Source organism: Homo sapiens, chromosome 12 (genome assembly GCF_000001405.40).
Source record: "Homo sapiens chromosome 12, GRCh38.p14 Primary Assembly".
NCBI lineage: Eukaryota > Metazoa > Chordata > Mammalia > Primates > Hominidae > Homo > Homo sapiens.
In genome coordinates this window covers 58,318,392-58,345,257 of record NC_000012.12, presented here as the reverse complement: position 1 = coordinate 58,345,257, position 26,866 = coordinate 58,318,392, and the positions used below count along the sequence as shown (strand labels likewise).

Genomic DNA, 26,866 nt, shown 5'->3' with positions numbered 1-26,866 from the left:
GCCCAGCCTTGCAATTGCAGTAATGTCACTGATGCCATTTTAAGATGAGAAACCTGAGAGGCTCAAAGGAGGTAAATATTGGCCAGTAAGTGGAAAAGACAAGATTTGAACCTGATCAGTTGTCCTGCGTGGACTGCATTTTCTTAAGTGAGAAAATCTTATCCCTTACCATCATGTTTAATCTATTCCCTTACTTAGAAAAAGAAAACCCTTTTATTAAAGAGAGTGCGATACTGCACTTCAATCAAGACTCTGTCTTAACGATCACAAATATAGGATATTGGCCTCTGAATTAATTACAATCGCAATTAATGGCTTTAAATTCTTTCAGACTCCTCAACCCACAATTTCCTCATGTATGTGAAACTCATGTAGCTGGAAACTATGATACCAAGAATAAAGCTTCTGAACTAGCCTTGATAAAATTGCAGTGAGCCTGGGTGATGGGATCAATCACACCCCAAACCTCAGCATCATGCAATACGCCATGTAACAAATCTGCACCTGCACCCCCTGAATCTGAAATACAAGTTGAAAGTATAAAAAATGAAATAAAATAAAATTGCAGTGAGGTTGACTCCTCTCTTTCCCTTTCAATGCAGAGGAATGAAAGAGGTGGAGTCAGAACAAGAGCAGCAACGAGGCCCCTTGGAGTGGCCTTGGTTTTGTCCGGACTGCTCTCAGGCAGTCCCATGTGCCCACAGTGTTCCTATACAGAGCACACTCACATTTACAGCACCCCTACAAATTGCCTTATGCCCTTCGCATATGTTTATGTGATGCTCATATCCAGCCACCCAGAGTCACAGAGCACAGGAAAGCTGTGCCCACGCAGTTCAGGTGCCGAGTCCTCATATTCAAGTACAGTCCAACAACCACAACGTGGGTTCAGACTCACTCAAGTTCTTTACTTGCATTTCTCAAATATTCTGAAGGAAGTATGTAGGTCACAGCAATACTCTTTTAAAATTCCTTCTTCATCTCTCCTCTTCTTCCCTCACCAACCACAACTACTTTGGCACCTCTACTATTTCAACACGTCCCCCCCCAAAAACTTCCAAATTAAAAACTCCTGCTCTAAAAGATACTGTTAAGAAAACAAAAATACAAGCAATAGGCTAGGAGAAACATGCCTGCTGGGAGATATATTTGCAAAACACAAATCTAATAAAGGGCTTGTATTTAAAATATACAGATAACTCTTTAAAATTCAACAATAAGAAGACAAACAACCCCATTAAAGAGTGGGCAGGATCTGAACAGACGTCTCACAAAAGAAGATATATGGATGGCAAATAAGCACATTTCACATCAGGGAAATGTGAATTAAAACAACAATGAGATACCACTACATACCTATAGGAATGACTAAGACCCAAAACATCGACAACACCAAATGCTGGTGAGGATGTGAGGAAGTGGAGCACTGGGAACCTTCATCCATTGCCAGTGAGAATGCAAAATGGTACAGCTACTTTGGGAGACAATTTGTCAGTTTTGTACAAAACTAAATATATTCTTAACATACTATCCAGCATTGTATTTCTTGGTACTTACCCAAATAAGCTGAAAATTTGCATCCACAAAAAACTGCATACCGATCTCAATAGCAGTTTATTCATAATTGCCAAAATCAGAAGCAAACAAGTTGACCTTCAGTAGGTAAATGGATAAACAAAATGTGGTACATTCATAAAACTGAATATTATTCAGTCATAAAAAGAAAGGAGTTATCAAGCCACAAAAAGACACAGATGAAACCCAAATTCATATTGCTAAGTAAAAGAAACCAGTCTGAAACTGTATGATTCCAGCTATCTGGCATTCTGGAACAAGCAAAGCTATAGAGGTAGTAAAAGAATCAGTGATTCGCGGTTGCCAGGGGTTGGTAGGTGAGGGGTGGAAGAACAAATTGTATAGAGAGAGTACAAAGGATTTTTAGGACAATTAAACTATTCTATGTGATACTAAAGTGGTAAAAACATATCATTAGGCATCTGGCAAAAGCCATAGAATTTTGTAACATAAACAGTGAACTCTAATGTAAACTATGGATTTTAGTTTAATAATAATCTATCAATATTGGCTCATCAATTGTAGCAAATGTAGCACACCAATGCAATACGTTAACAAGAGGGAAATTGCAGGGAGGGGACACAGTATGTAGGAACTCCCTGTTCTTTCTATCTTTTTTCTGTAAACCTATAATCGCTCTACAAAGTCTATAAATGTTTTAAAAAGTTCTTTTCCTCTCCACTTAGAAGTGGTCACTAGAGCCAGCTGTTGTGGGTGCCAGAGGACTGGCAGAGATGTGTCATCCTCCTCATTGCAGTTCTCATGAGAATCTGCCCACATGCTCTTTGACACACTGTCTCTCCTCTTTGCCATTATTTTGTTTACTGGAGGTTAATTTTCATCTTGTTCCACATGGGCTTCTTCTTAAGCCCATGTCACCATCACACTGTGGTTTGTGTGATGCCACATGGCCTTAGAAGACGCCCAGAACAAGATGGTGCACCCATCACCAAGTGGGCTTCACCACGGAGAAACAGCTCACTGGGAGGTAGACATTGCTCCATGGGAAAGTAGTGGTGACATGGAGGAGACAGAACGCTCAGTACCTTCCCAGAGGGATGCCAAAAGGAGCTCCGAACTGATGTGAGCCTCAGGTGCCAGATCTAAAGAGGACCAGGGGCAAGGGTAGCCCACAGGGAAAATGACCTCGCTGCTCTGACTGGTTGTTCAGAGAAATCCTTCTTGGAACCTGTCCCTTCCTTTGATCTTTTGTGAAGCTTTCCTTAGAAAACCGAAACTCAGCGTCTAAGTCTCTTTCTTCAGATCTTCCTGAGTCTACTTCAGAAAGTTCTTTCAGGAAAGGCCTACTTTGGGAGTCCCCCAAAGCAGCCCCTATTAAAGCACTCTGTATTTTCTGAGACGAGATAAAACTTAAAAATAAATTATTTAACAAACTTCTTAAAGAAACCTGTGCAGAAGACTCTGGAGTAATTAAAGGAAGATATCAAACCCCAAACTGATACAAATCATCGGTCTCCCACAGTTGAGTTAAAAAATAACATCTTAGTTGGAGGAACTCACTTCTTCGTTTTGAGAGTTAAATATGCAAATAACTTCCTGCCTAGTTCCTTGTTTTCAAGGATTAAATTTTTCCTATGGCTCTGAACAACCTCACTTTTCTTGTCTGATAATTGTCAGTCTGCCAAATCACTCAGGAGGAAATGTTTACAATGCAGTGCATATGTTTTTAGTTTATCGCTTTGCCATCTGTTCATGGAAAACTCTCAGCACCAAAACATGCATACACATTGTCCTCTAGTCTTCCACTACCTAAGCAGTGAACACCAGCAGAAGTTTGCCAAAGATCTATTAGTGCAGATAACCTTTTCACTGAGATGCACAGAATATTGCCTAGACACACAGAATAAACTGGATTAGTTAGGTGCCAAGTCAATGGATACATTTCAAAGAGAAAACTATTTTCCTCATACAACCTCGATTAAAACAAAAAGGTAAAAATGTAGCCCTGGGATGTAAAAAGAAAAAGACATCTTTTCTCTAAGAACTATAGCCAAGGTGCCATTTAGAGCAATTCCTATTGATGTACAATATTTAGTGTGGACATATTTGCTTCATACTTTTCAAATTGTTACTTTGAAGCTTTTCTTTACTTTTACTAGAAGGAGTGGTATTAAATTTACTTAATGTTTCCTGAGTGCCTGTTTTGAGATCATTGCTCCTTAGATCCTGCTTGTAAACATATGGAGAATTTTACAGTCCCCTTAAAATATGGTAACTATATCAGAGAAAGAGTGTTCTGTGATAAACCCAACTGAAATTTCTCTGGGTTTTGATCTTTCATATTATTAAAGATTCATTTCTTTTATTATAGATTGGATTTAAACTTCAGCTGAACCTTTCTGAATGCAAAGCAAAGCTAGATCTGGACAGGATTGAGCAGGGTTCATTTGCAGGATTGCCAGCCTCACTGCCACAAGAAATGAACAAATTTTGCAGAGATGGCTAGTTCTAGCTTTATTGAATTTTGACTAAATTTCAGTTATTGCAAATCTCAAAAAAAAAAAAAGTGAGAATAAGATACCCTTACAGAGTAATTGTTTATTTCCTGGGCTGGTTCATTCGGCTTGATGATGACTGGGTGCTAATGATACCTGACGTGGGGATTGGAAGCTCAAACTGACCAGCTTGCTTTTCACCAAGAAAACCTCCCTTGATTGTCCCCATTAAGCTTCTCAAAGATGTACCATTTTGGTTGCCATGGATACCAGGAAAGAAGAATGGGCAAATCTGCACAAATCCATAATTGCTAATCACTTCTGGAAAAATCAACCAGAACTCCAGCCCTACTGAAAATGATCCATAGCATCATTTTGAATAGAAGAGACAAATGCAACTTTCTCTACATTGGAACAAAACTTCAAAAAGCTAAAGTTCACCATCACATTTTGGGCTCTGCCTTTCCCACCAACATGTATGCATATTCGTGGAAAAAAGAAATGTCAATCAATACCATGACTACCTTCACTTTCAGTTCTGAATCCAACTGGAAGAAAAGTGTTGCAAAACATACTTTATTTTCTAATATACTGGGAGCCTAGCTTGATTTTAGCCACAGAGACAAAATGAAAAATTAAAGCGTTAGTAGATTCTTTTTATAATCCAGCAGGGAACTATTTACCTCAAAAGCCCTCCAGGGTAAAGACAAAAGCAGATGATTTCTATAAAAGCACCATTTATGGAAAATATGAACATCACTAAATTAATATATATTTTTAAGCCCCCACCATGAGCCAAGCACTCAAGTTATGAAAGAAAATTCAAAACCTGCTGATATGGGTTGGATCTGTGCCTCCACCCGAATCTCATTTTGAATTGTAATCCCCAGTGTTGGAGGTGGAGCTTGGTGGGAGGTTATTGGATGATAGGGTGGTTTCTAATGGGTTAGCACCATGCCCCTAGTGCTATCTCCTGCTACAGTTCTCATGAGATCTGGTTGTTTAAAAGTGTGTGGCACTTTCCCCTTCACTCTCTGTCTTCCTCCTGCTCCAGCCATGTAGGACATGCTGGCTTCCCCTTAGCATTCTGCCATAATTGTAAATTTCCTGAGGTTTCCCCAACCATGCTTCCTGTACAGCCTGCGGAACCATGAGCCAATTAAACCTCTTTTGTTTACAATTGACCTAGTCTCAGGTAGTTCTTTACAGCAATGGGAGAATGGACTAATACACCTGCCATTTTCAAAAAGTTCACACTAGGCTGCGCACAGTGAGTGGCTCAAGCCTGTAAACCCAGCACTTTGGGAGGCTGAAGAGGGCAAACTTCTTGAGTCCAGGAGTTCGAGACCAGCCTGGCCTACGTAGCCAAACCCCGTCTCTACTATAGACACAAAAAATTAGCCAGCATGGTGGCACATGCCCATAATCCCAGCTACTCAGGAAGCTGAGGTGGAAGAATTACCTGAGCCCAAGAAGTCGAGGCTGTAGGGAGCTGAGATTGTGCCGCTGCACTCCAGCCTTGGCAACCAGAGACCCTGTCAAAAAAAAAAAAAAGCTTACTCTCTATGTAGGAAAACGAGGCATGCATACCAAACAACTTGACAGCAGCACAAGACTGGGTCTAGTATACTCATATTCTGGAAAAGTTGGCACAGGTAAGTCTTATGGAGATCAGGAAACAAAAAAAGTCTTTGTGGAGCAGAGTAATCCAGGAAAGTCTCTTCAGAGATAATAAGCCTTCAGGTAGATTTGATTTGATTTGGAGGTAAATAAAAGAATAGGCATTCCAGGTCAGAGGAGACTGCTTGCTTCCATCAGGGTGCTGAGGGAAGGCCGCTCTCAGGAGACGGTGTTTGTGCCAGAGGCATTTGAACCAGAGCGACTCCATCTTGAGTAGGGGCTGGGTAAAATAAGGCTGACACCTACCGGGCTGCCTTCCAGGATGGTTAGGCATTCTAAGTCACAGGATGAACTAGAAGAGCGGTACAAAATACAGGTCATAAAGACCTTGCTGATAAAACAGTTTGCAGTAAAGAAACCGGCCAAAACCAAGATGGCAATGAGAGTGACCTCTGGTCGTTCTTACTGCTACACTCCCACCAGTGCCATGACAGTTTACAAATGCCATGGCAACATCGGGAAGTTACCCTATCCGTTCTAAAAAGAGGAGGCATGAATAATCCACCCCTAATTTAGCATATAATCAAGAAATAACCATAAAAATAGGCAACCAGCAGCCCTCTGAGCTGCTCTGCCTATGGAATGGCTATTCTTGTATTCCTTTACTTTCTTAATAAACTTGCTTTCAATTTACTCTATGGGCTCACCTCAAATTCTTTTTTGCATGAGATCCAAGAACCCTCTCTGGAGTCTGAATTGGGACCTCTTTCCGGTAACGTTTGAGCTGAGACTTAAATTATGAGGATGGGTCAACCTGGAGGTATCAGGCAGAGGGAACAGCAAGAGCATTTGTCCTGAGGAGAAAAATCATTCACACGCACATTCAAAGACAGAAAGAAGGCTGACATGGCAGGCACACAGGGAAAGAGAGAGGGAGAGTGGTGGGCCACCTCAGTAGAGCAGGCAGGGACAGACTGTCAGCCCTTTTCTACCCTTTATTTTAATTGCAACAGAAACTCACTAAATTATTTTAGGTTTGGGCAAATAGTTCTGGTAAGCAAGTTAAGTGATGTAATTTATATTTTTTAAAGCTCACTGGTAGCTATGAGAAGAATGGATACTGGAGGGAGGGGTAAGGAAAGAAGCAGGGAGATGATCAGGAGAAGCCTGTAGCAAAGACATAGGCTGGACTTTTGGGGGTGGCCCCAAGAGTGAGAGAAGTGAACAGTCTAGAGGTGTATTTTGGAAGCAGAACATGCAGGACATGCTGGTGATTTTGATAGAAGAGGGAAGAAGGGAAAGAGAAGAACCAAGGTTGACATCTAGGCTTTTGACTTGAGCAGTCTGGAAGATGGTGAAACCTCTTACTGAAATGGGGATGACCTGAAAAAGAATTTGGTCAGTGGACAGGGGAAAATCAAGAGAGTTCCTTATTAGACATATTATTTTTTATGCCTGTTTTATACCTATATCTCTCATGGATAGGAACTACCTGCAGAAACTTGGTAGCAAGGGCCTAATCAGTAAGGCATTTATTTTTCTCATATGGCAAAAACAAAAAACAAAAAAAAAAACAGGAAGATGTAACCACATCATGGTTGATAGAGCTACTCAAGGATCCCTTTTTCTTCCTGCTCAAGCACCAAAAAAATAATGGCTTTCATTCTACAGCTGCCCCATGATTACAATATGTGTTCTATCTCCAACTTCTGGTCCAAGTTTCAGGCAGGAATAAGAAAGAAGCAAAATGAGGAAGTGTATTAGTCTGTTCTCATGCTGCTAATAAAGACATGCCAAAGATTGGGCAATTTATAAAGGAAAAAGGTTTAATTGACTCATAGTTCAGCATGGCTGGGGAGGCCTCAGGAAACTTACAATCATGGCGGAAGAGGAAGCAAACACATCCTTCTTCACATGGCATCAACAAGAAGCGCAGAGCAACAGTGGGGAAAGTCCCTTGCAAAACCGTCAGATCTCATGAGACTTATTCACTATCATGAGGACAGCATGGGAAAAACCCACCCACATGATTCAATTACCTCCCACCAGGTCCCTTCCATAATAGGTGGGGATTATGGGAGCTATAGTTCAAGATGAGATTTCGGTGGGGACACAGCCAAACCATATCAGTAATGATGTGTGTCTTTATCAAGGTTAAACAATTTCCAGAAAGCTCCAGAAGATTTTGGTTGGCATCTCCCATGGCTACCCATAGCTGGAAGAGAGTCTAGAAAATATTGTTCTTAGCTATGCCTATTGCTATCCCAAACAATCTCATGGTTCTAGTACGGAAAAGTGGATACTGAGAAGAGAGCTGACTGTGTTTAGCTATAATATCCAAGTAGAGATTGAAAGTACACTGTTGGCTACAGAAGTCTGGAGTCCAGGGGAGTCATTAAAGATATTTAAAAAATACTCATCAGCCTGTAAAGGATATTTAAAGTCATGGGACTGAGTACAGTTAGTCAGATAAAAAGTGACGAAAGAGAAGAAGTCTCTGGACTGAGCTTGGAAACCTTCCAACATTCCAAAGTCTAGTAGAAGAGGTAGCAAAAAAAAAAAAAAAAGCTGAAAGGAGCAGTAAGAGAGGAAAAAGGAAAACCAAAGGAACGTGCTGACCACTGGTGAGAGGTCAAGGTAGGGAGGACAAGGAAGTGGCCACTGGTTTTGGCAACATGGAGATTGTTGGTATGTGGGGAAAAGCAAGAGAGATCAGATTGTTACTGTGTCTGTGTAGAAAGAAGTAGACATAGGAGACTCCATTTTGTTATGTACTAAGAAAAATTCTTCTGCCTTGAGATTCTGTTAATCTATAACCTTACCCCCAACCCCGTGCTCTCTGAAACATGTGCTGTGTCAACTCAGAGTTAAATGGATTAAGGGCGGTGCAAGATGTGCTTTGTTAAACAGATGCTTGAAGGCAGCATGCTCCTTAAGAGTCATCACCACTCCCTAATCTCAAGTACCCAGGGACACAAAAACTGCGGAAGGCCACAGGGACCTCTGCCTAGGAAAGCCAGGTATTGTCCAAGGTTTCTCCCCATGTGATAGTCTGAAATATGGCCTCGTGGGAAGGGAAAGACCTGACCGTCCCCCAGCCCGACACCCGTAAAGGGTCTGTGCTGAGGAGGATTAGTAAAAGAGGAAGGAATGCCTCTTGCAGTTGAGACAAGAGGAAGGCATCTGTCTCCTGCCTGTCCCTGGGCAATGGAATGTCTCGGTATAAAACCTGACTGTATGCTCCATCTACTGAGATAGGGAAAAACCGCCTTAGGGCTGGAGGTGGGACCTGCGGGCAGCAATACTGCTTTGTAAAGCATTGAGATGTTTATGTGTATGCATATCTAAAAGCACAGCACTTAATCCTTTACATTGTCTATGATGCAAAGACCTTTGTTCACATGTTTGTCTGCTGACCCTCTCCCCACAATTGTCTTGTGACCCTGACACATCCCCCTCTTCGAGAAACACCCACAGATGATCAATAAATACTAAGGGAACTCAGAGGCTGGCGGGATCCTCCATATGCTGAATGCTGGTTCCCCGGGTCCCCTTATTTCTTTCTCTATACTTTGTCTCTGTGTCTTTTTCTTTTCCAAATCTCTCGTCCCACCTTACGAGAAACACCCACAGGTGTGTAGGGGCAACCCACCCCTACATCTGGTGCCCAACGTGGAGGCTTTTCTCTAGGGTGAAGGTACGCTCGAGCGTGGTCATTGAGGACAAGTCGACGAGAGATCCCGAGGACGTCTACAGTCAGCCTTACGGTAAGCTTGTGCTCTCGGAAGAAGCTAGGGTGATAATGGGGCAAACTAAAAGTAAAATTAAAAGTAAATATGCCTCTTATCTCAGCTTTATTAAAATTCTTTTAAAAAGAGGGGGAGTTAAAGTATCTACAAAAAATCTAATCAAGCTATTTCAAATAATAGAACAATTTTGCCCATGGTTTCCAGAACAAGGAACTTTAGATCTAAAAGATTGGAAAAGAATTGGTAAGGAACTAAAACAAGCAGGTAGGAAGGGTAATATCATTCCACTTACAGTATGGAATGATTGGGCCATTATTAAAGCAGCTTTAGAACCATTTCAAACAGAAGAAGATAGCATTTCAGTTTCTGATGCCCCTGGAAGCTGTATAATAGATTGTAATGAAAACACAAGGAAAAAATCCCAGAAAGAAACGGAAGGTTTACATTGCGAATATGCAGCAGAGCCGGTAATGGCTCAGTCAACGCAAAATGTTGACTATAATCAATTACAGGAGGTGATATATCCTGAAACGTTAAAATTAGAAGGAAAAGGTCCAGAATTAGTGGGGCCATCAGAGTCTAAACCACGAGGCACAAGTCCTCTTCCAGCAGGTCAGGTGCCCGTAACATTACAACCTCAAACGCAGGTTAAAGAAAATAAGACCCAACCACCAGTAGCTTATCAATACTGGCCGCCGGCTGAACTTCAGTATCGGCCACCCCCAGAAAGTCAGTATGGATATCCAGGAATGCCCCCAGCACCACAGGGCAGGGCGCCATACCCTCAGCCGCCCACTAGGAGACTTAATCCTACGGCACCACCTAGTAGACAGGGTAGTGAATTACATGAAATTATTGATAAATCAAGAAAGGAAGGAGATACTGAGGCATGGCAATTCCCAGTAATGTTAGAACCGATGCCACCTGGAGAAGGAGCCCAAGAGGGAGAGCCTCCCACAGTTGAGGCCAGATACAAGTCTTTTTCAATAAAAATGCTAAAAGATATGAAAGAAGGAGTAAAACAGTATGGACCCAACTCCCCTTATATGAGGACATTATTAGATTCCATTGCTCATGGACATAGACTCATTCCTTATGATTGGGAGATTCTGGCAAAATCGTCTCTCTTACCCTCTCAATTTTTACAATTTAAGACTTGGTGGATTGATGGGGTACAAGAACAGGTCCAAAGAAATAGGGCTGCCAATCCTCCAGTTAACATAGATGCAGATCAACTATTAGGAATAGGTCAAAATTGGAGTACTATTAGTCAACAAGCATTAATGCAAAATGAGGCCATTGAGCAAGTTAGAGCTATCTGCCTTAGAGCCTGGGAAAAAATCCAAGACCCAGGAAGTACCTGCCCCTCATTTAATACAGTAAGACAAAGTTCAAAAGAGCCCTATCCTGATTTTGTGGCAAGGCTCCAAGATGTTGCTCAAAAGTCAATTGCCGATGAAAAAGCCCGTAAGGTCATAGTGGAGTTGATGGCATATGAAAACGCCAATCCTGAGTGTCAATCAGCCATTAAGCCATTAAAAGGAAAGGTTCCTGCAGGATCAGATGTAATCTCAGAATATGTAAAAGCCTGTGATGGAATCGGAGGAGCTATGCATAAAGCTATGCTTATGGCTCAAGCAATAACAGGAGTTGTTTTAGGAGGACAAGTTAGAACATTTGGAGGAAAATGTTACAATTGTGGTCAAATTGGTCACTTAAAAAAGAATTGCCCAGTCTTAAACAAACAGAATATAACTATTCAAGCAACTACAACAGGTAGAGAGCCACCTGACTTATGTCCAAGATGTAAAAAAGGAAAACATTGGGCTAGTCAATGTCGTTCTAAATTTGATAAAAATGGGCAACCATTGTCGGGAAACGAGCAAAGGGGCCAGCCTCAGGCCCCACAACAAACTGGGGCATTCCCAATTCAGCCATTTGTTCCTCAGGGTTTTCAGGGACAACAACCCCCACTGTCCCAAGTGTTTCAGGGAATAAGCCAGTTACCACAATACAACAATTGTCCCCCACCACAAGCGGCAGTGCAGCAGTAGATTTATGTACTATACAAGCAGTCTCTCTGCTTCCAGGGGAGCCCCCACAAAAAATCCCCACAGGGGTATATGGCCCCCTGCCTGAGGGGACTGTAGGACTAATCTTGGGAAGATCAAGTCTAAATCTAAAAGGAGTTCAAATTCATACTAGTGTGGTTGATTCAGACTATAAAGGCGAAATTCAATTGGTTATTAGCTCTTCAATTCCTTGGAGTGCCAGTCCAGGAGACAGGATTGCTCAATTATTACTCCTGCCATATATTAAGGGTGGAAATAGTGAAATAAAAATAATAGGAGGGCTTGGAAGCACTGATCCAACAGGAAAGGCTGCATATTGGGCAAGTCAGGTCTCAGAGAACAGACCTGTGTGTAAGGCCATTATTCAAGGAAAACAGTTTGAAGGGTTGGTAGACACTGGAGCAGATGTCTCTATCATTGCTTTAAATCAGTGGCCAAAAAATTGGCCTAAACAAAAGGCTGTTACAGGACTTGTCGGCATAGGCACAGCCTCAGAAGTGTATCAAAGTACTGAGATTTTACATTGCTTAGGGCCAGATAATCAAGAAAGTACTGTTCAGCCAATGATTACTTCAATTCCTCTTAATCTGTGGGGTCGAGATTTATTACAACAATGGGGTGCGGAAATCACCATGCCCACTCCATTATATAGCCCCACGAGTCAAAAAATCATGACCAAGATGGGATATATACCAGGAAAGGGACTAGGGAAAAATGAAGATGGCATTAAAGTTCCAGTTGAGGCTAAAATAAATCAAAAAAGAGAAGGAATAGGGTATCCTTTTTAGGGGCGGCCACTCTAGAGCCTCCTAAACCCATACCATTAACTTGGAAAACAGAAAAACTGGTGTGGGTAAATCAGTGGCCGCTACCAAAACAAAAACTGGAGGCTTTACATTTATTAGCAAATGAACAGTTAGAAAAGGGTCATATTGAGCCTTCGTTCTCACCTTGGAATTTTCCTGTGTTTGTAATTCAGAAGAAATCAGGCAAATGGCGTATGTTAACTGACTTAAGGGCTGTAAACGCCATAATTCAACCCATGGGGCCTCTCCAACCTGGGTTGCCCTCTCCGGCCATGATCCCAAAAGATTGGCCTTTAATTATAATTGATCTAAAGGATTGCTTTTTTACCATCCCTCTGGCAGAGCAGGATTGTGAAAAATTTGCCTTTACTATACCAGCCATAAATAATAAAGAACCAGCCACCAGGTTTCAGTGGAAAGTGTTACCTCAGGGAATGCTTAATAGTCCAACTATTTGTCAGACTTTTGTAGGTCGAGCTCTTCAACCAGTTAGAGAAAAGTTTTCAGACTGTTATATTATTCATTATATTGATGATATTTTATGTGCTGCAGAAACGAAAGATAAATTAATTGACTGTTATACATTTCTGCAAGCAGAGGTTGCCAATGCAGGACTGGCAATAGCATCTGATAAGATCCAAACCTCTACTCCTTTTCATTATTTAGGGATACAGATAGAAAATAGAAAAATTAGCCACAAAAAATAGAAATAAGAAAAGACACATTAAAAACACTAAATGATTTTCAAAAATTACTAGGAGATATTAATTGGATTCGGCCAACTCTAGGCATTCCTACTTATGCCATGTCAAATTTGTTCTCTATCTTAAGAGGAGACTCAGACTTAAATAGTTAACCCCAGAGGCAACAAAAGAAATTAAATTAGTGGAAGAAAAAATTCAGTCAGCGCAAATAAATAGAATAGATCCCTTAGCCCCATCCAACTTTTGATTTTTGCCACTGCACATTCTCCAACAGGCATCATTATTCAAAATACTGATCTTGTGGAGTGGTCATTCCTTCCTCACAGTACAGTTAAGACTTTTACATTGTACTTGGATCAAATAGCTACATTAATTGGTCAGACAAGATTACGAATAATAAAATTATGTGGAAATGACCCAGACAAAATAGTTGTCCCTTTAACCAAGGAACAAGTTAGACAAGCCTTTATCAATTCTGGTGCATGGCAGATTGGTCTTGCTAATTTTGTGGGAATTATTGATAATCATTACCCAAAAACAAAGATCTTCCAGTTCTTAAAATTGACTACTTGGATTCTACCTAAAATTACCAGACGTGAACCTTTAGAAAATGCTCTAACAGTATTTACTGATGGTTCCAGCAATGGAAAAGCAGCTTACACAGGGCCGAAAGAACGAGTAATCAAAACTCCATATCAATCGGCTCAAAGAGCAGAGTTGGTTGCAGTCATTACAGTGTTACAAGATTTTGACCAACCTATCAGTATTATATCAGATTCTGCATATGTAGTACAAGCTACAAGGGATGTTGAGACAGCTCTAATTAAATATAGCATGGATGATCAGTTAAACCAGCTATTCAATTTATTACAACAAACTGTAAGAAAAAGAAATTTCCCATTTTATATTACTCATATTCGAGCACACACTAATTTACCAGGGCCTTTGACTAAAGCAAATGAACAAGTTGACTTACTGGCATCATCTGCACTCATAAAAGCACAAGAACTTCATGCTTTGACTCATGTAAATGCAGCAGGATTAAAAAACAAATTTGATGTCACATGGAAACAGGCAAAAGATATTGTACAACATTGCACCCAGTGTCAAGTCTTACACCTGCCCACTCAAGAGGCAGGAGTTAATCCCAGAGGTCTGTGTCCTAATGCGTTATGGCAAATGGATGTCACGCATGTACCTTCATTTGGAAGATTATCATATGTTCACGTAACAGTTGATACTTATTTACATTTCATATGGGCAACTTGCCAAACAGGAGAAAGTACTTCCCATGTTAAAAAACATTTATTGTCTTGTTTTGCTGTAATGGGAGTTCCAGAAAAAATCAAAACTGACAATGGACCAGGATATTGTAGTAAAGCTTTCCAAAAATTCTTAAGTCAGTGGAAAATTTCACATACAACAGGAATTCCTTATAATTCCCAAGGACAGGCCATAGTTGAAAGAACTAATAGAACACTCAAAACCCAATTAGTTAAACAAAAAGAAGGGGGAGACAGTAAGGAGTGTACCACTCCTCAGATGCAACTTAATCTAGCACTCTATACTTTAAATTTTTTAAACATTTATGGAAATCAGACTACTACTTCTGCAGAACAACATCTTACTGGTAAAAAGAACAGCCCACATGAAGGAAAACTAATTTGGTGGAAAGATAATAAAAATAAGACATGGGAAATAGGGAAGGTGATAACGTGGGGGAGAGGTTTTGCTTGTGTTTCACCAGGAGAAAATCAGCTTCCTGTTTGGATACCCACTAGACATTTGAAGTTCTACAATGCACCCATCGGAGATGCAAAGAAAAGCACCTCCGCGGAGACGGAGACACCGCAATCGAGCACCGTTGACTCACAAGATGAACAAAATGGTGACATCAGAACAGATGAAGTTGCCATCCACCAAGAAGGCAGAGCCGCCGACTTGGGCACAACTAAAGAAGCTGACGCAGTTAGCTACAAAATATCTAGAGAACACAAAGGTGACACAAACCCCAGAGAGTATGCTGCTTGCAGCCTTGATGATTGTATCAATGGTGGTAAGTCTCCCTATGCCTGCAGGAGCAGCTGCAGCTAACTATACCAACTGGGCCTATGTGCCTTTCCCGCCCTTAATTCGGGCAGTCACATGGATGGATAATCCTATAGAAGTATATGTTAATGATAGTGTATGGGTACATGGCCCCATAGATGATCGCTGCCCTGCCAAACCTGAGGAAGAAGGGATGATGATAAATATCTCCATTGGGTATCATTATCCTCCTATTTGCCTAGGGAGAGCACCAGGATGTTTAATGCCTGCAGTCCAAAATTGGTTGGTAGAAGTACCTACTGTCAGTCCCATCAGTAGATTCACTTATAACATGGTAAGCGGGATGTCACTCAGGCCACGGGTAAATTATTTACAAGACTTTTCTTATCAAAGATCATTAAAATTTAGACCTAAAGGGAAACCTTGCCCCAAGGAAATTCCCAAAGAATCAAAAAATACAGAAGTTTTAGTTTGGGAAGAATGTGTGGCCAATAGTGTGGTGATATTACAAAACAATGAATTTGGAACTATTATAGATTGGGCACCTCGAGGTCAATTCTACCACAATTGCTCAGGACAAACTCAGTCGTGTCCAAGTGCACAAGTGAGTCCAGCTGTTGATAGTGACTTAACAGAAAGTTTAGACAAACATAAGCATAAAAAATTGCAGTCTTTCTACCCTTGGGAATGGGGAGAAAAAGGAATCTCTACCCCAAGACCAAAAATAATAAGTCCTGTTTCTGGTCCTGAACATCCAGAATTATGGAGGCTTACTGTGGCCTCACACCACATTAGAATTTGGTCTGGAAATCAAACTTTAGAAACAAGAGATCGTAAGCCATTTTATACTGTTGACCTAAATTCCAGTCTAACAGTTCCTTTACAAAGTTGCGTAAAGCCCCCTTATATGCTAGTTGTAGGAAATATAGTTATTAAACCAGACTCTCAAACTATAACCTGTGAAAATTGTAGATTGCTTACTTGCATTGATTCAACTTTTAATTGGCAACACCGTATTCTGCTGGTGAGAGCAAGAGAGGGCGTGTGGATCCCTGTGTCCATGGACCGACCGTGGGAGGCCTCGCCATCCATCCATATTTTGACTGAAGTATTAAAAGGTGTTTTAAATAGATCCAAAAGATTCATTTTTACTTTAATTGCAGTGATTATGGGATTAATTGCAGTCACAGCTATGGCTGCTGTAGCAGGAGTTGCATTGCACTCTTTTGTTCAGTCAGTAAACTTTGTTAATGATTGGCAAAAAAATTCTACAAGATTGTGGAATTCACAATCTAGTATTGATCAAAAATTGGCAAATCAAATTAATGATCTTAGACAAACTGTCATTTGGATGGGAGACAGGCTCATGAGCTTAGAACATCGTTTCCAGTTACAGTGTGACTGGAATACGTCAGATTTTTGTATTACACCCCAAATTTATAATGAGTCTGAGCATCACTGGGACATGGTTAGACGCCATCTACAGGGAAGAGAAGATAATCTCACTTTAGACATTTCCAAATTAAAAGAACAAATTTTCGAAGCATCAAAAGCCCATTTAAATTTGGTGCCAGGAACTGAGGCAATTGCAGGAGTTGCTGATGGCCTCGCAAATCTTAACCCTGTCACTTGGGTTAAGACCATTGGAAGTACTACGATTATAAATCTCATATTAATCCTTGTGTGCCTGTTTTGTCTGTTGTTAGTCTGCAGGTGTACCCAACAGCTCCGAAGAGACAGCGACCATCGAGAACGGGCCATGATGACGATGGTGGTTTTGTCGAAAAGAAAAGGGGGAAATGTGGGGAAAAGCAAGAGAGATCAGATTGTTACTGTGTCTGTGTAGAAAGAAGTAGACATAGGAGACTCCATTTTGTTATGTACTAAGAAAAATTCTTCTGCCTTGAGATTCTGTTAATCTATAACCTTACCCCCAACCCCGTGCTCTCTGAAACATGTGCTGTGTCAACTCAGAGTTAAATGGATTAAGGGCGGTGCAAGATGTGCTTTGTTAAACAGATGCTTGAAGGCAGCATGCTCCTTAAGAGTCATCACCACTCCCTAATCTCAAGTACCCAGGGACACAAAAACTGCGGAAGGCCGCAGGGACCTCTGCCTAGGAAAGCCAGGTATTGTCCAAGGTTTCTCCCCATGTGATAGTCTGAAATATGGCCTCGTGGGAAGGGAAAGACCTGACCGTCCCCCAGCCCGACACCCGTAAAGGGTCTGTGCTGAGGAGGATTAGTAAAAGAGGAAGGAATGCCTCTTGCAGTTGAGACAAGAGGAAGGCATCTGTCTCCTGCCTGTCCCTGGGCAATGGAATGTCTCGGTATAAAACCCGATTGTATGCTCCATCTACTGAGATAGGGAAAAACCGCCTTAGGGCTGGAGGTGGGACCTGCGGGCAGCAATACTGCTTTGTAAAGCATTGAGATGTTTATGTGTATGCATATCTAAAAGCACAGCACTTAATCCTTTACATTGTCTATGATGCAAAGACCTTTGTTCACATGTTTGTCTGCTGACCCTCTCCCCACAATTGTCTTGTGACCCTGACACATCCCCCTCTTCGAGAAACACCCACAGATGATCAATAAATACTAAGGGAACTCAGAGGCTGGCGGGATCCTCCATATGCTGAACGCTGGTTCCCCGGGTCCCCTTATTTCTTTCTCTATACTTTGTCTCTGTGTCTTTTTCTTTTCCAAATCTCTCGTCCCACCTTACGAGAAACACCCACAGGTGTGTAGGGGCAACCCACCCCTACATTGGTAACCATGAAAAAGGTAGTTTTACTAGAGTGACAGGGGTCAGACTGGAGTGGGCTGAAAAGTGACTAGAAGGTAACAAAGTGGAGACTGAGTATAGAAAACCTTTCCAATAAACCTTGCTATAAAGAAAACAGATAAAGCAGTGATAGAGGATAGGTGACTTCAAGAGAAGTTTCTGGTAATTAGTCTGCTTGCTTTCTTGCTTGCTTGCTTGCTTGCTTGCTTGCTTGCTTGCTTGCATGCTTGGCAAGTGAAAGATACTAGAATATGTTTCTCTGCTGATAGAGAACCTTGAATTTCAAGCCGGGAGGTTAAAACTTAAGTTTAGAAACATTGTGAGTTTTTAACAAGAAAATGGTATGATGAAGTCAATGTTTTAGAAAGATTCATCTAAAAAGAGCTGTCCATAAATTGTGTAAAATTGGAAAAGTATACATAGCAATGAAAAGTGCTGTATGTCACCCAAAGGGAACCACTGATGCAACAGCAGATAGCCTTAAAGAGGCTCCCGAGGTAAGTCAGCCATGAGTCTTTCGATGGCTAAAGAATGGGCCCCAGAAGGAGCATTCAGAATTGATGCCTCTCCAAAAGGCAAAATTTAAACTTAAAGTCTGTCTCTGAGAGACCGTCATAAAAACTCCAAACACCATAAACTATCTGGGGATAAAATATTGAAGGCATCACTAAAATCTGCTAAATATTAAATGGATGAATGTGTTGCATCAGCACTTATTTTTATTCTTATAATTTATAGAGCTGTGTAAATCTATATGGTACTTTATGGAACATAAAGCACAAAAGACAGAATTCCTGTACTGTGAAGTTTACAGTCTCATTCAGACATAAACTAAAACACTGGATGATGACCCCTAAAATGTTCTTTCCAACCAAAGTGATTGGAGAAGCCACAAGCACCGCCAACACAACCCTGTCCTCAGCCCCAACAGAAAATTTTGTCAGTGACCACAGTTACTTACCAATTTTTGTTCATGTGTTGCACGTTTATTCCAAAATACTTGGAAATGAAAATGTGTTTATTTCTATGGCTTCTCTCTAATAAGTCTCTAATAACAATTAAGATTCTTGGAAAGACTCAAATCATACAGTCATGCACATTAAAAGCATGGAGGGCATAGCAGTCAATCAACTCAATCAATTTTCAGAAGGAGCTGATAGCCAGCAAGGTGCAGTGATTCACCCAAGGTCACTCCAACAAGTAGCAGAGCTGGGACTCGAACATGAGAACCCTAACACAGTCTAGTACTCTTCCCTCTTGTCTCCTTCAGAAGCCAGTCAACTCATAGATGTTCCATTTGTTTATTTCCCAGTGGATTTTCATGAAAATCATGAAGGGAATCATGTGACTCTTTCATGCTGTTTCCTCTGAACACTTTGTTTGGCATAATGCTGCACTTTGACAAAAAAACACATCTGCAAAGGAGAGCAGGAACTGCTTTCTAAGGTCCAAATCTCATATTCTGATACACCAGAGCCAAACATGAGCCATATCTAACATGGAGCTGTATCTGACAAAAGGCTCTTCTGGTTTTTTATTCAGTTTTTAAAGTGTTTTCCCCCACAAATCCAGTGCAAATCAGCAGTCACATTTAAATTAACCTAAAAAGGAAGAAAAAATTTGCAGTTTGTGAGATTTGGGTGCCTAGAACAGCAACCTACAGATACCAGCATACAATATGTGGTAGATTAATTGACTGTGAAATTACAGTTTAAGCAACAAAGCTTTCTTAAAGCGTTAGGGATGTAAAGAAGCATGTAAACAAACTGATTCTCATTATTTGTTGAAGAAAAACAGTTTGCCTTTTCCCCTTGCCTTTCTTTCTTTCTTTCTTTCTCTTTATAAATGTCTTACAAACACTTGCTCTGGGATGATTTCATTTGTAAAGCTTTCCTAAACACCACTCCCTGAAAAGGGAGATTTATTTGTAGAGGTGCTGAATGATTCCTAGCTCAAGCTATCTGCACAGTTTCTGTGGATGTTAAAAACGAATAAAGCATTATACAGATCAAGGCTATTGTATTAATATTATTATGATAAATTAGAAAGGTGAGTGGTCATTATTGTTAGGCAGGTTACTGATTGCCTGGCACTTTACAACTGCAGAGGACAATAGAGAAAATCAATCCAGCCCAATCATTTGAAAAATGGAAAAAATGAGGGCTAATCAGGGGAAGTGGTTTGTCCAGGATACCACAACTAGTTAGAGACTGAGCTAGAGGCAGAACCCTATAAAGTATAAGGAACTACAGCCCCCAGGAAGTTCACTTACGTGACAGTCTCAGACCATTGGATCTCACTCTCCACCAAACCACACCTGTGAGATCTCTTAGTCTTATCCAAGATGACTGAAGGTGTCCAGGACTAAAGCCAGCTACCAAGAAAGGCCAGTCATGACGAGACCCAGGTTCTCCAAAGCCAAAGCCAGGGGAGATGTGGGAATCAATTTGGAAGAGGGATGCTATTAGAATATTTATCCCATGGCGTTTTGCTATAATAACAGCAATACAGATAACATCAACTGCACTTAATCAGATACCCAAAACCCTCAATTGTCAAAACGTTCATTTTATTCCATCAGAATTCTACAGCATGCCCAATTTGGCTTTTCTGTTTCCAAACACCATACTGGTTTCCTAAATGATACTCCTTTGGTAGGGTACCAATATAATAATTGTGGACAGTCCATTTAGTGACAGTTGTTAAAAGAAAAACTTCAGCCTAATTAAATTTAAAGGTGTTTAATTGAGCAATGAACGATTCATGAATCAGGCAGCCCCCAGAATCACAGCAGATTCAAAGAGACTCTAGGGGCACCTCACGGTCAGAACAAAGTTATAGACAGAAAAAAGTAAAGTGATGTACAGGAATCGGAAGTGAGGTACAGGAATGGCTGGATTGGTTACAGGTCAGCATTTGCCTTATTTGAACAGTTTGAACACTCAGCAGTATATATGACTGGTTGAAGTATGGCTGATGTGATTGGCCAAGACTCAGGTATTGTTACAGGCGCAAACTCCTAAGTTAGGTTTTCAATCTTGTCTACCTATTAAGTTAGGTTGCAGTTCGTCCTCAAGGCCTCAAATATAGAAGTACAGAATCCTTCTCAGGCTACATTTAGTTCTCTTTTACACAGTCTATTTGTTATTGGCCTTCATATCATCTGTTGCCTCTTTTGTGTCACCTAGTAAGGAATAGCATATGCCAAAATTTCTAGCAAGCTGTGTGGGATCTTTTATATTCAGAATAAGAGAAGTTGCTGTAAATCTAAAGTCAAACTATAAAATAGTCCCCCCCAAAATAACTTAGGATTTTCAAAATATTGCCAATTCTACGGAGGGTAGGTACAGATAAAATGATGGGGTCAGCCTCCTAATTCACAGGAACATCTATAAGATAATGAAACTATCAATGTCTGATTTCTAGTATTAGTGGATATATGCTGATTAAGAGAGATGGAAACTCATGAATCTCAGGATACACACGTGTATCCATTCCCTTCGCATAAAATGCCTACTTTCTGGGTCATGGTATCTTCATTCCAGAGGCATGTGTCTCCCATTCCAGCTATAAAACAAGCTTCTCAGGGCTGTCTCATCCCAACGATACCCTCAGCAGAGTCCACTCAAATCAGGGGAAGTCCTACCATGAGGCAGGGGCAGAAAGAAGAAACAGTTCCCTGTGGGTTGTTTTCCTCACTTGGGTACTTGGCCAACACTTTCCAAACAAAGACTTGCTTTTCTCAGAGCAACAGGGTATGTCTCCTAAACTCTTTAGAAAATGAGGACAAGGACCTTCACAATGTCAGAAATGGAGCACCTGGAATTAAAATGAACTCTCTGAATCAGGGGGCTCGGGGGAAGAAGGATGACAAAGCCCAACCTCAGGAATTTCCAACCACATAAAGTAACAATAATGGTCATTTATTCATTTGTTCAGCAAATATTTATTGTCTACTCTGAACCAGGCACTGTTCTGGGTGCTGAGGATACAACAGTGAACGAACAGGCCAGGAAAGTGAAGAAAAGGTAGAGTATATTAAAGGGGTTATAAATACTATGGAGAAATGTAGAATAAAGCAAGGGAGAGAGACGGAGAGTTGGAAAGTTAGAACAGGTTGAATTTTCATTAAGGTATCCAAGGAAAGCTTTCTAAAAAGGTGACATTTGAGGAAAGGCCTGTAGGAGATGAGGGAGTAAACCAGACAACTATCTGGAACAACAGCTGAAGTAAGAACAAGTTCAAAGGCACTAGGCAGGAGCATACCTGGCATGTTGGAGGAAATGCAAGCAGGCCAGTGTGGCTGGAACAGAGAGAACGAGGAGAGAATAGCAAGGACACAGAGGACATGCAGGGCCTTGAAAATCATAGTAAGGGTTTTTATTTAGAGTGAATTAGGGGAGCCATTACAGAGTCTTGACCAGAGAAGTGGCATACTCTGACTTACATTGTAAAAGGATTATTCTGGCTGCTGTATTGAGAATAGACTGAATGGAGAGGCCACAGTGGGGTATGGTGGGTAGGTGGAGATAAAAGCAGGAAGATCAGTTAGGAAACTATTACAGATGATGGTGACCCAGGCCAGGAAAGTAGCAGTAGCAATTGTGAGAATGTGGAGTTGTGGATATATTTGCGGATAGAAACAATAAGATTGGCAGCTACATTAGATGTAGGGTATAAAAGAAAGGAGCCTCAGTCTTCAAGGTTTTGAACCTGAATAGCTGGAAAGATGAACTGAAGACTAAAAGAGAAGCAAGCTTGGAATCGATGACCAGAAGTTCCATTTGGGACATGTTAAATCTGAGTTGCTTCTTTAATCCAAATGATGCTGCTGGGTAAAAGGACCTAGATATGCAGGTCTAGAACTGGGGGAAGAGATTCAGGCTAGAGATATAAATGTCAGTCTTTACTATTAAGCTTTTCTACTTGCTGGTCCACTTTCCATGGTATCTCTTCATGCCCAGAACTAGATTGTTCTTTGATGCCTTTGACTTAAGGGGGCCCTACTCCTATGGAATTTAATCATTCAATGTTTGTCCTCCTGCAGAAATGTCTTCATTTCAGGGCTCAAATGAGTAACTTGAAAAGAAAGTTTTTATTATTGTTCTAATAATTCTAGAAGGAGAACTTTTAAGTTTTTCTCTATTAATCACTGAAGAACCTTGAAAAAGACTCTTTAAGAAGAAAATAAAGTAAGGAACCCTCTTGTGGAATTATTATAGATTTTAATTTGTGACTGTCTTCATAGTAGTTTGGTGAGATATTCTCAACATTTCATTGCTATGGAATTGAAAACATTGTCATTTTGTCTGCATTGTTATTACAACTTGCCTATAGACTCAGTTTCCTCCATATAAGAGCTTACATTTCTTTTGACTAGTTTCTAAAACTTAAGGATGCATTATTTCTACACTGGCATTTTAAGATCTAATAAGGCTTTCCCTGGTAACCCTGGCCACATTTATGCCTCCCTTTAGGAATTTGATAATCCAGAAATTGTTCAGTCTCTATCTTTAAACTCTGTTTCAGAAATCTCCTTAAATCTGTCTGTGGCTACATTGTAAGGAGGAGAATCTCTCCATACCAGACTAAGATATTCTTAAGAAAGCAATAAACCAGTAGTAGAACTACTAACCGTTTTCTACTAATTTTGTAAAATCTTAGGTTGTGTATGTCTTATATTGAGCACACCACACAGCTCAGGGAATGGCCATGTTGCACAAACGCAAGAGCCTTTGCCTAGACTTGGAGTCAGAAGATGCCTGTTCTGGGCATAATGATGTCTCGTGCTTGGTTTGTGATGATGACAGTTGCAAGTCACCACACCTCTCAGTTCCTCAATTCTAAATAAGTAAAAATGAATTCTACCCACCTAATAAAGAAGTTGTGAAACTTCCAAATTCCTAAAACCAAAGGAATTAATTTTTTCCCACCCACTCCCCATCTGCCAAATAAACATACTGAGCTTTCTTCTATATTCCCATTCCTAGTCAATTATGAGGTTGGTGCAAAAGTAATTGCAGTTTTTGCCATTACTTTCAATGGTAAAAATCACAAATACTTTAGCGCCAACCTAAAAACATAAATATATACATTCAATAAGATCTCTTTCTTATCATACTCACCCAAAAAATACCACTACATATAGGTAAAATGTAGTTTTCTAACTTACCCTGATTTTTAAATTTAGGACTTCAAAATGACCTCTAGAGCAGATATTAGCAATATAAAGGGCTAGGTAGTAAATATTTTAGGCTTTATGAGCCATAAGGTTTCTGTCATAACTACCCAACTCTGCCATTGTACCTGAAAAGTAGCTATAGAAAATACAAAAATAAATAGACACCGCTGTTTTTCGTTGGTTTGTTTGTTTTTTTGAGACAGAGCCTCGCTCTGTCACCCAGGCTGGAGTACGGTGGCACGATCTTGGCTCACTGCAACCTCTGCCTCCCGGGTTCAAGCGATTCTCCCTGCCTCAGCCTCCCAAGTAGCTGGGACTACAGGCACCTGCCACCATGCCCGGCTAATTTTTGTATTTTTTTAGTAAACATGGGGTTTTGTCATGTTGGCCAGGCTGGTCTTGAACTCCCAACCTCAGGTGATCCGCCCACCTTGGTCTCCCAAAGTCCTGAGATTACAGGCATGAGCCAGCTGTGTTTTAATAAAACATTATTTACAAAAAGAGGTGACAGGCTGGATTTGGCCCACAGACTATAGTTTGTTGGCCCTGCTCTAATGCTCAGGCCTTATTCTTCTGCACATACAAAACTCTAAGTCTTCAGAGAACAAACACTGAATTCATTCCTTACTTTATAAATCCTGGATAAATTAAAATTTCAGAAGTGGGATTCTTAAATAAGGAACATCAGTATAATCATGTATAATAAATATAACAGTTCTACCAAACAGTGTACAATGGATTAGGAAATATATATATACACATATATATATTTGCCTTGGTACAAGGCATTATTTGGGAATATATATATATGTATGTATATATATACATATACATATGTATATACATATACACATATATACATATGTATATACATATACACATATATACATATGTATATACATACATATATACATATACATACATGTGTATATGTATATATACATACATGTGTGTATATGTGTATATATATGTGTGTGTATATGTATATATGTATATGTGTATATATACACACATATATATTCCCAAATAACGCCTTGTGTGTATATATGTATATATGTATATGTGTATATATACACACACATATATATATTCCCAAATAATGCCTTGTACCAAACAAGAAGGCTCATTCAAAGAAAATATGTGTTTATGATATCATCTGCCAGAACAACAAAAGATTATTGCTACAGTTAAAACAGATCTCCAAGCTTTGGGAATTTACCTACAGGTTACAATTTCCCCTTTTGTTCAATTACAAAATATTATTAGCTTGTAAGTAGAGATGTCAGAAATAATATTTAGAGATTATAAAACATATATTCACATTTCAGTAACCCATTGGTAAGGACTTGAAATAGCAGTGATATGGTTTGGCTGTGTCCCCACTCAAATCTCATCTTGAATTGTAACTCCCACAGTTCCCACATATCGTGGGAGGATCCTGGTGGGAGGCAATTGAATCATAGGGGAAAGGTCTTTCCTGTGCTGTTCTTGTGATAGTGAATAAGTCTCATGAAATCTGATGGTTTTGAAAATGGGAGTTTTCCTGCACAAGCTCTCTTTGCCTGCTGTCATCCATGTGAGATGTGACTTGCTCCTCCTTGCCTTCCGCCATGTTCGTGAGACCTCTCCAGCCATGTGGAACTGTAAGGCCATTTAACCTCTTTTTCTTCCTTCTCTCAGATATGTCTTTATCAGCAGCATGAAAACAGACTAATACAGTAAATTGGTACCAGTAGAGTGGGGCACTGCTGAAAAGATACCTGAAAATGTGGAAACAACTTTGGGACTGAGTAACAGGCAGGGGATGGAACAATTTGGAGGGCTCAGAAGACAGGAAAATGTGGGAAAGTTTGGAACTTCCTAGAGACTTGTTGAATGGCTTTGCCCAAAATGCTGATAGCAATATTGACAATGAAATCCAGGCTGAGGTGGTCTCAGAGAGAGATGAGGAACTTTTTGGGAACTGGAGTAAAGGGGACTCTTGCTATGTTTTAGCAAAGAGACCTGGAGGCATTTTACCCTGCCCTAGACAGTTGTGGAACTTCGAACTCGAGAGAGATGATTTAGGGTATCTGGCAGAAGAAATTTTTAAGCAGCAAAGCATTCAAGAGGTGACTTGGGTGCTGTTAAAGGCATTCAGTTTTAAAAGGAGACAGAGCATAAAGGTTCAGAAGATTTGCAGCCTGGCAATGCAATAGAAAAGAAAATCCCATTTTCTGAGAAGAAATTCAAGTGAGCTGCAGAAATTCGCATAAGTAACAAGGAGCCGAATGTTAATCCCCAAGACAATGGGGAAAATGTTCCAGGGCATATCAGAGGTCTTCACAGCAGCCCCTCCCATCACAGGCCTGGACGCCTAGGAGGAAAAAGTGGTTTCTTGGGCTGGGCTTAGGGTCCCCGTGCAGTGTGCTGCCTAGGGACTTGGTGCCCTGCATCCTTGGCTCCAGCCAAGGCTGAAAGGGGCCAACATAGAGCTCGGGCCGTGTCTTCAGAGGGTGCAGCCCCCAAGCCTTAGCAGCTTCCATGTGATGTTGACCCTGTGAGTGCACAGAAGTCAAGAATTAGGGTTTGGGAAGTTCCACCTAAATTTCAAAAGATGTATGGAAACACCTGGATGCCCAGGCAGAAGTTTGCTGCAGGGGTGGAACCCTCATGGAGAACCTCTGCTAGGGCAGTGCAGAAGGGAAATGTGTGGTTGGAGCCCCCACACAGAGTCCCTACTGGGGCACCACCTAGTGGAGCTGTGAGAAGAGGGCCACCATCATCCAGACCCCAGAATGGTAGACGCACCAACAGCTTACACTGTGCACCTGGAAAAGCTGCAGACACTCAATGCCAGCCCGTGAAGGCAGCTGGGAGGGAGGCTG

At 40.8% G+C, this 26,866-nt stretch overlaps 1 protein-coding gene across 2 annotated transcripts, besides 2 other annotated features; it reads left to right on the top strand.

Annotated features, from left to right (window-relative positions):
- Positions 7,524–7,603: an enhancer, noted in NCBI's record as "active region_6567". NCBI's record gives its function as "activates an Ori minimal core promoter by ATAC-STARR-seq in GM12878 lymphoblastoid cells {active_cell/tissue: GM12878}" and the evidence as "EXISTENCE:reporter gene assay evidence [ECO:0000049][PMID:35858748]".
- LOC105369787 (endogenous retrovirus group K member 21 Env polyprotein) lies at positions 8,218–16,877 on the top strand. Of its 2 annotated transcripts, none has more exons than XM_047429956.1 (3): positions 8,218–8,288; positions 9,342–9,418; positions 14,764–16,877. In XM_047429956.1, exon 3 carries the CDS (start codon positions 14,781–14,783, stop codon positions 16,875–16,877), a length of 2,097 nt encoding a protein of 698 aa, XP_047285912.1. In that variant the 5' UTR covers positions 8,218–8,288; positions 9,342–9,418; positions 14,764–14,780. The 2 variants fall into 2 exon arrangements, with proteins under 2 accessions (XP_047285912.1, XP_047285911.1); XM_047429955.1 differs by lacking the exon at positions 8,218–8,288 and adding an exon at positions 8,630–8,671.
- Positions 17,281–17,795: an enhancer, noted in NCBI's record as "OCT4-NANOG-H3K27ac hESC enhancer chr12:58721246-58721760 (GRCh37/hg19 assembly coordinates)". NCBI's record gives its function as "activates a minimal SCP1, AML or CMV promoter by ChIP-STARR-seq in naive H9 embryonic stem cells {active_cell/tissue: H9 hESC(naive)}" and the evidence as "EXISTENCE:reporter gene assay evidence [ECO:0000049][PMID:30033119]".

What these genes read in the sequence shown, in the direction of transcription:
- LOC105369787 (XM_047429956.1), top strand. Translation starts at nt 14,781, where the DNA reads ATGCACCCATCGGAGATGCAAAGAAAAGCACCTCCGCGGAGACGGAGA.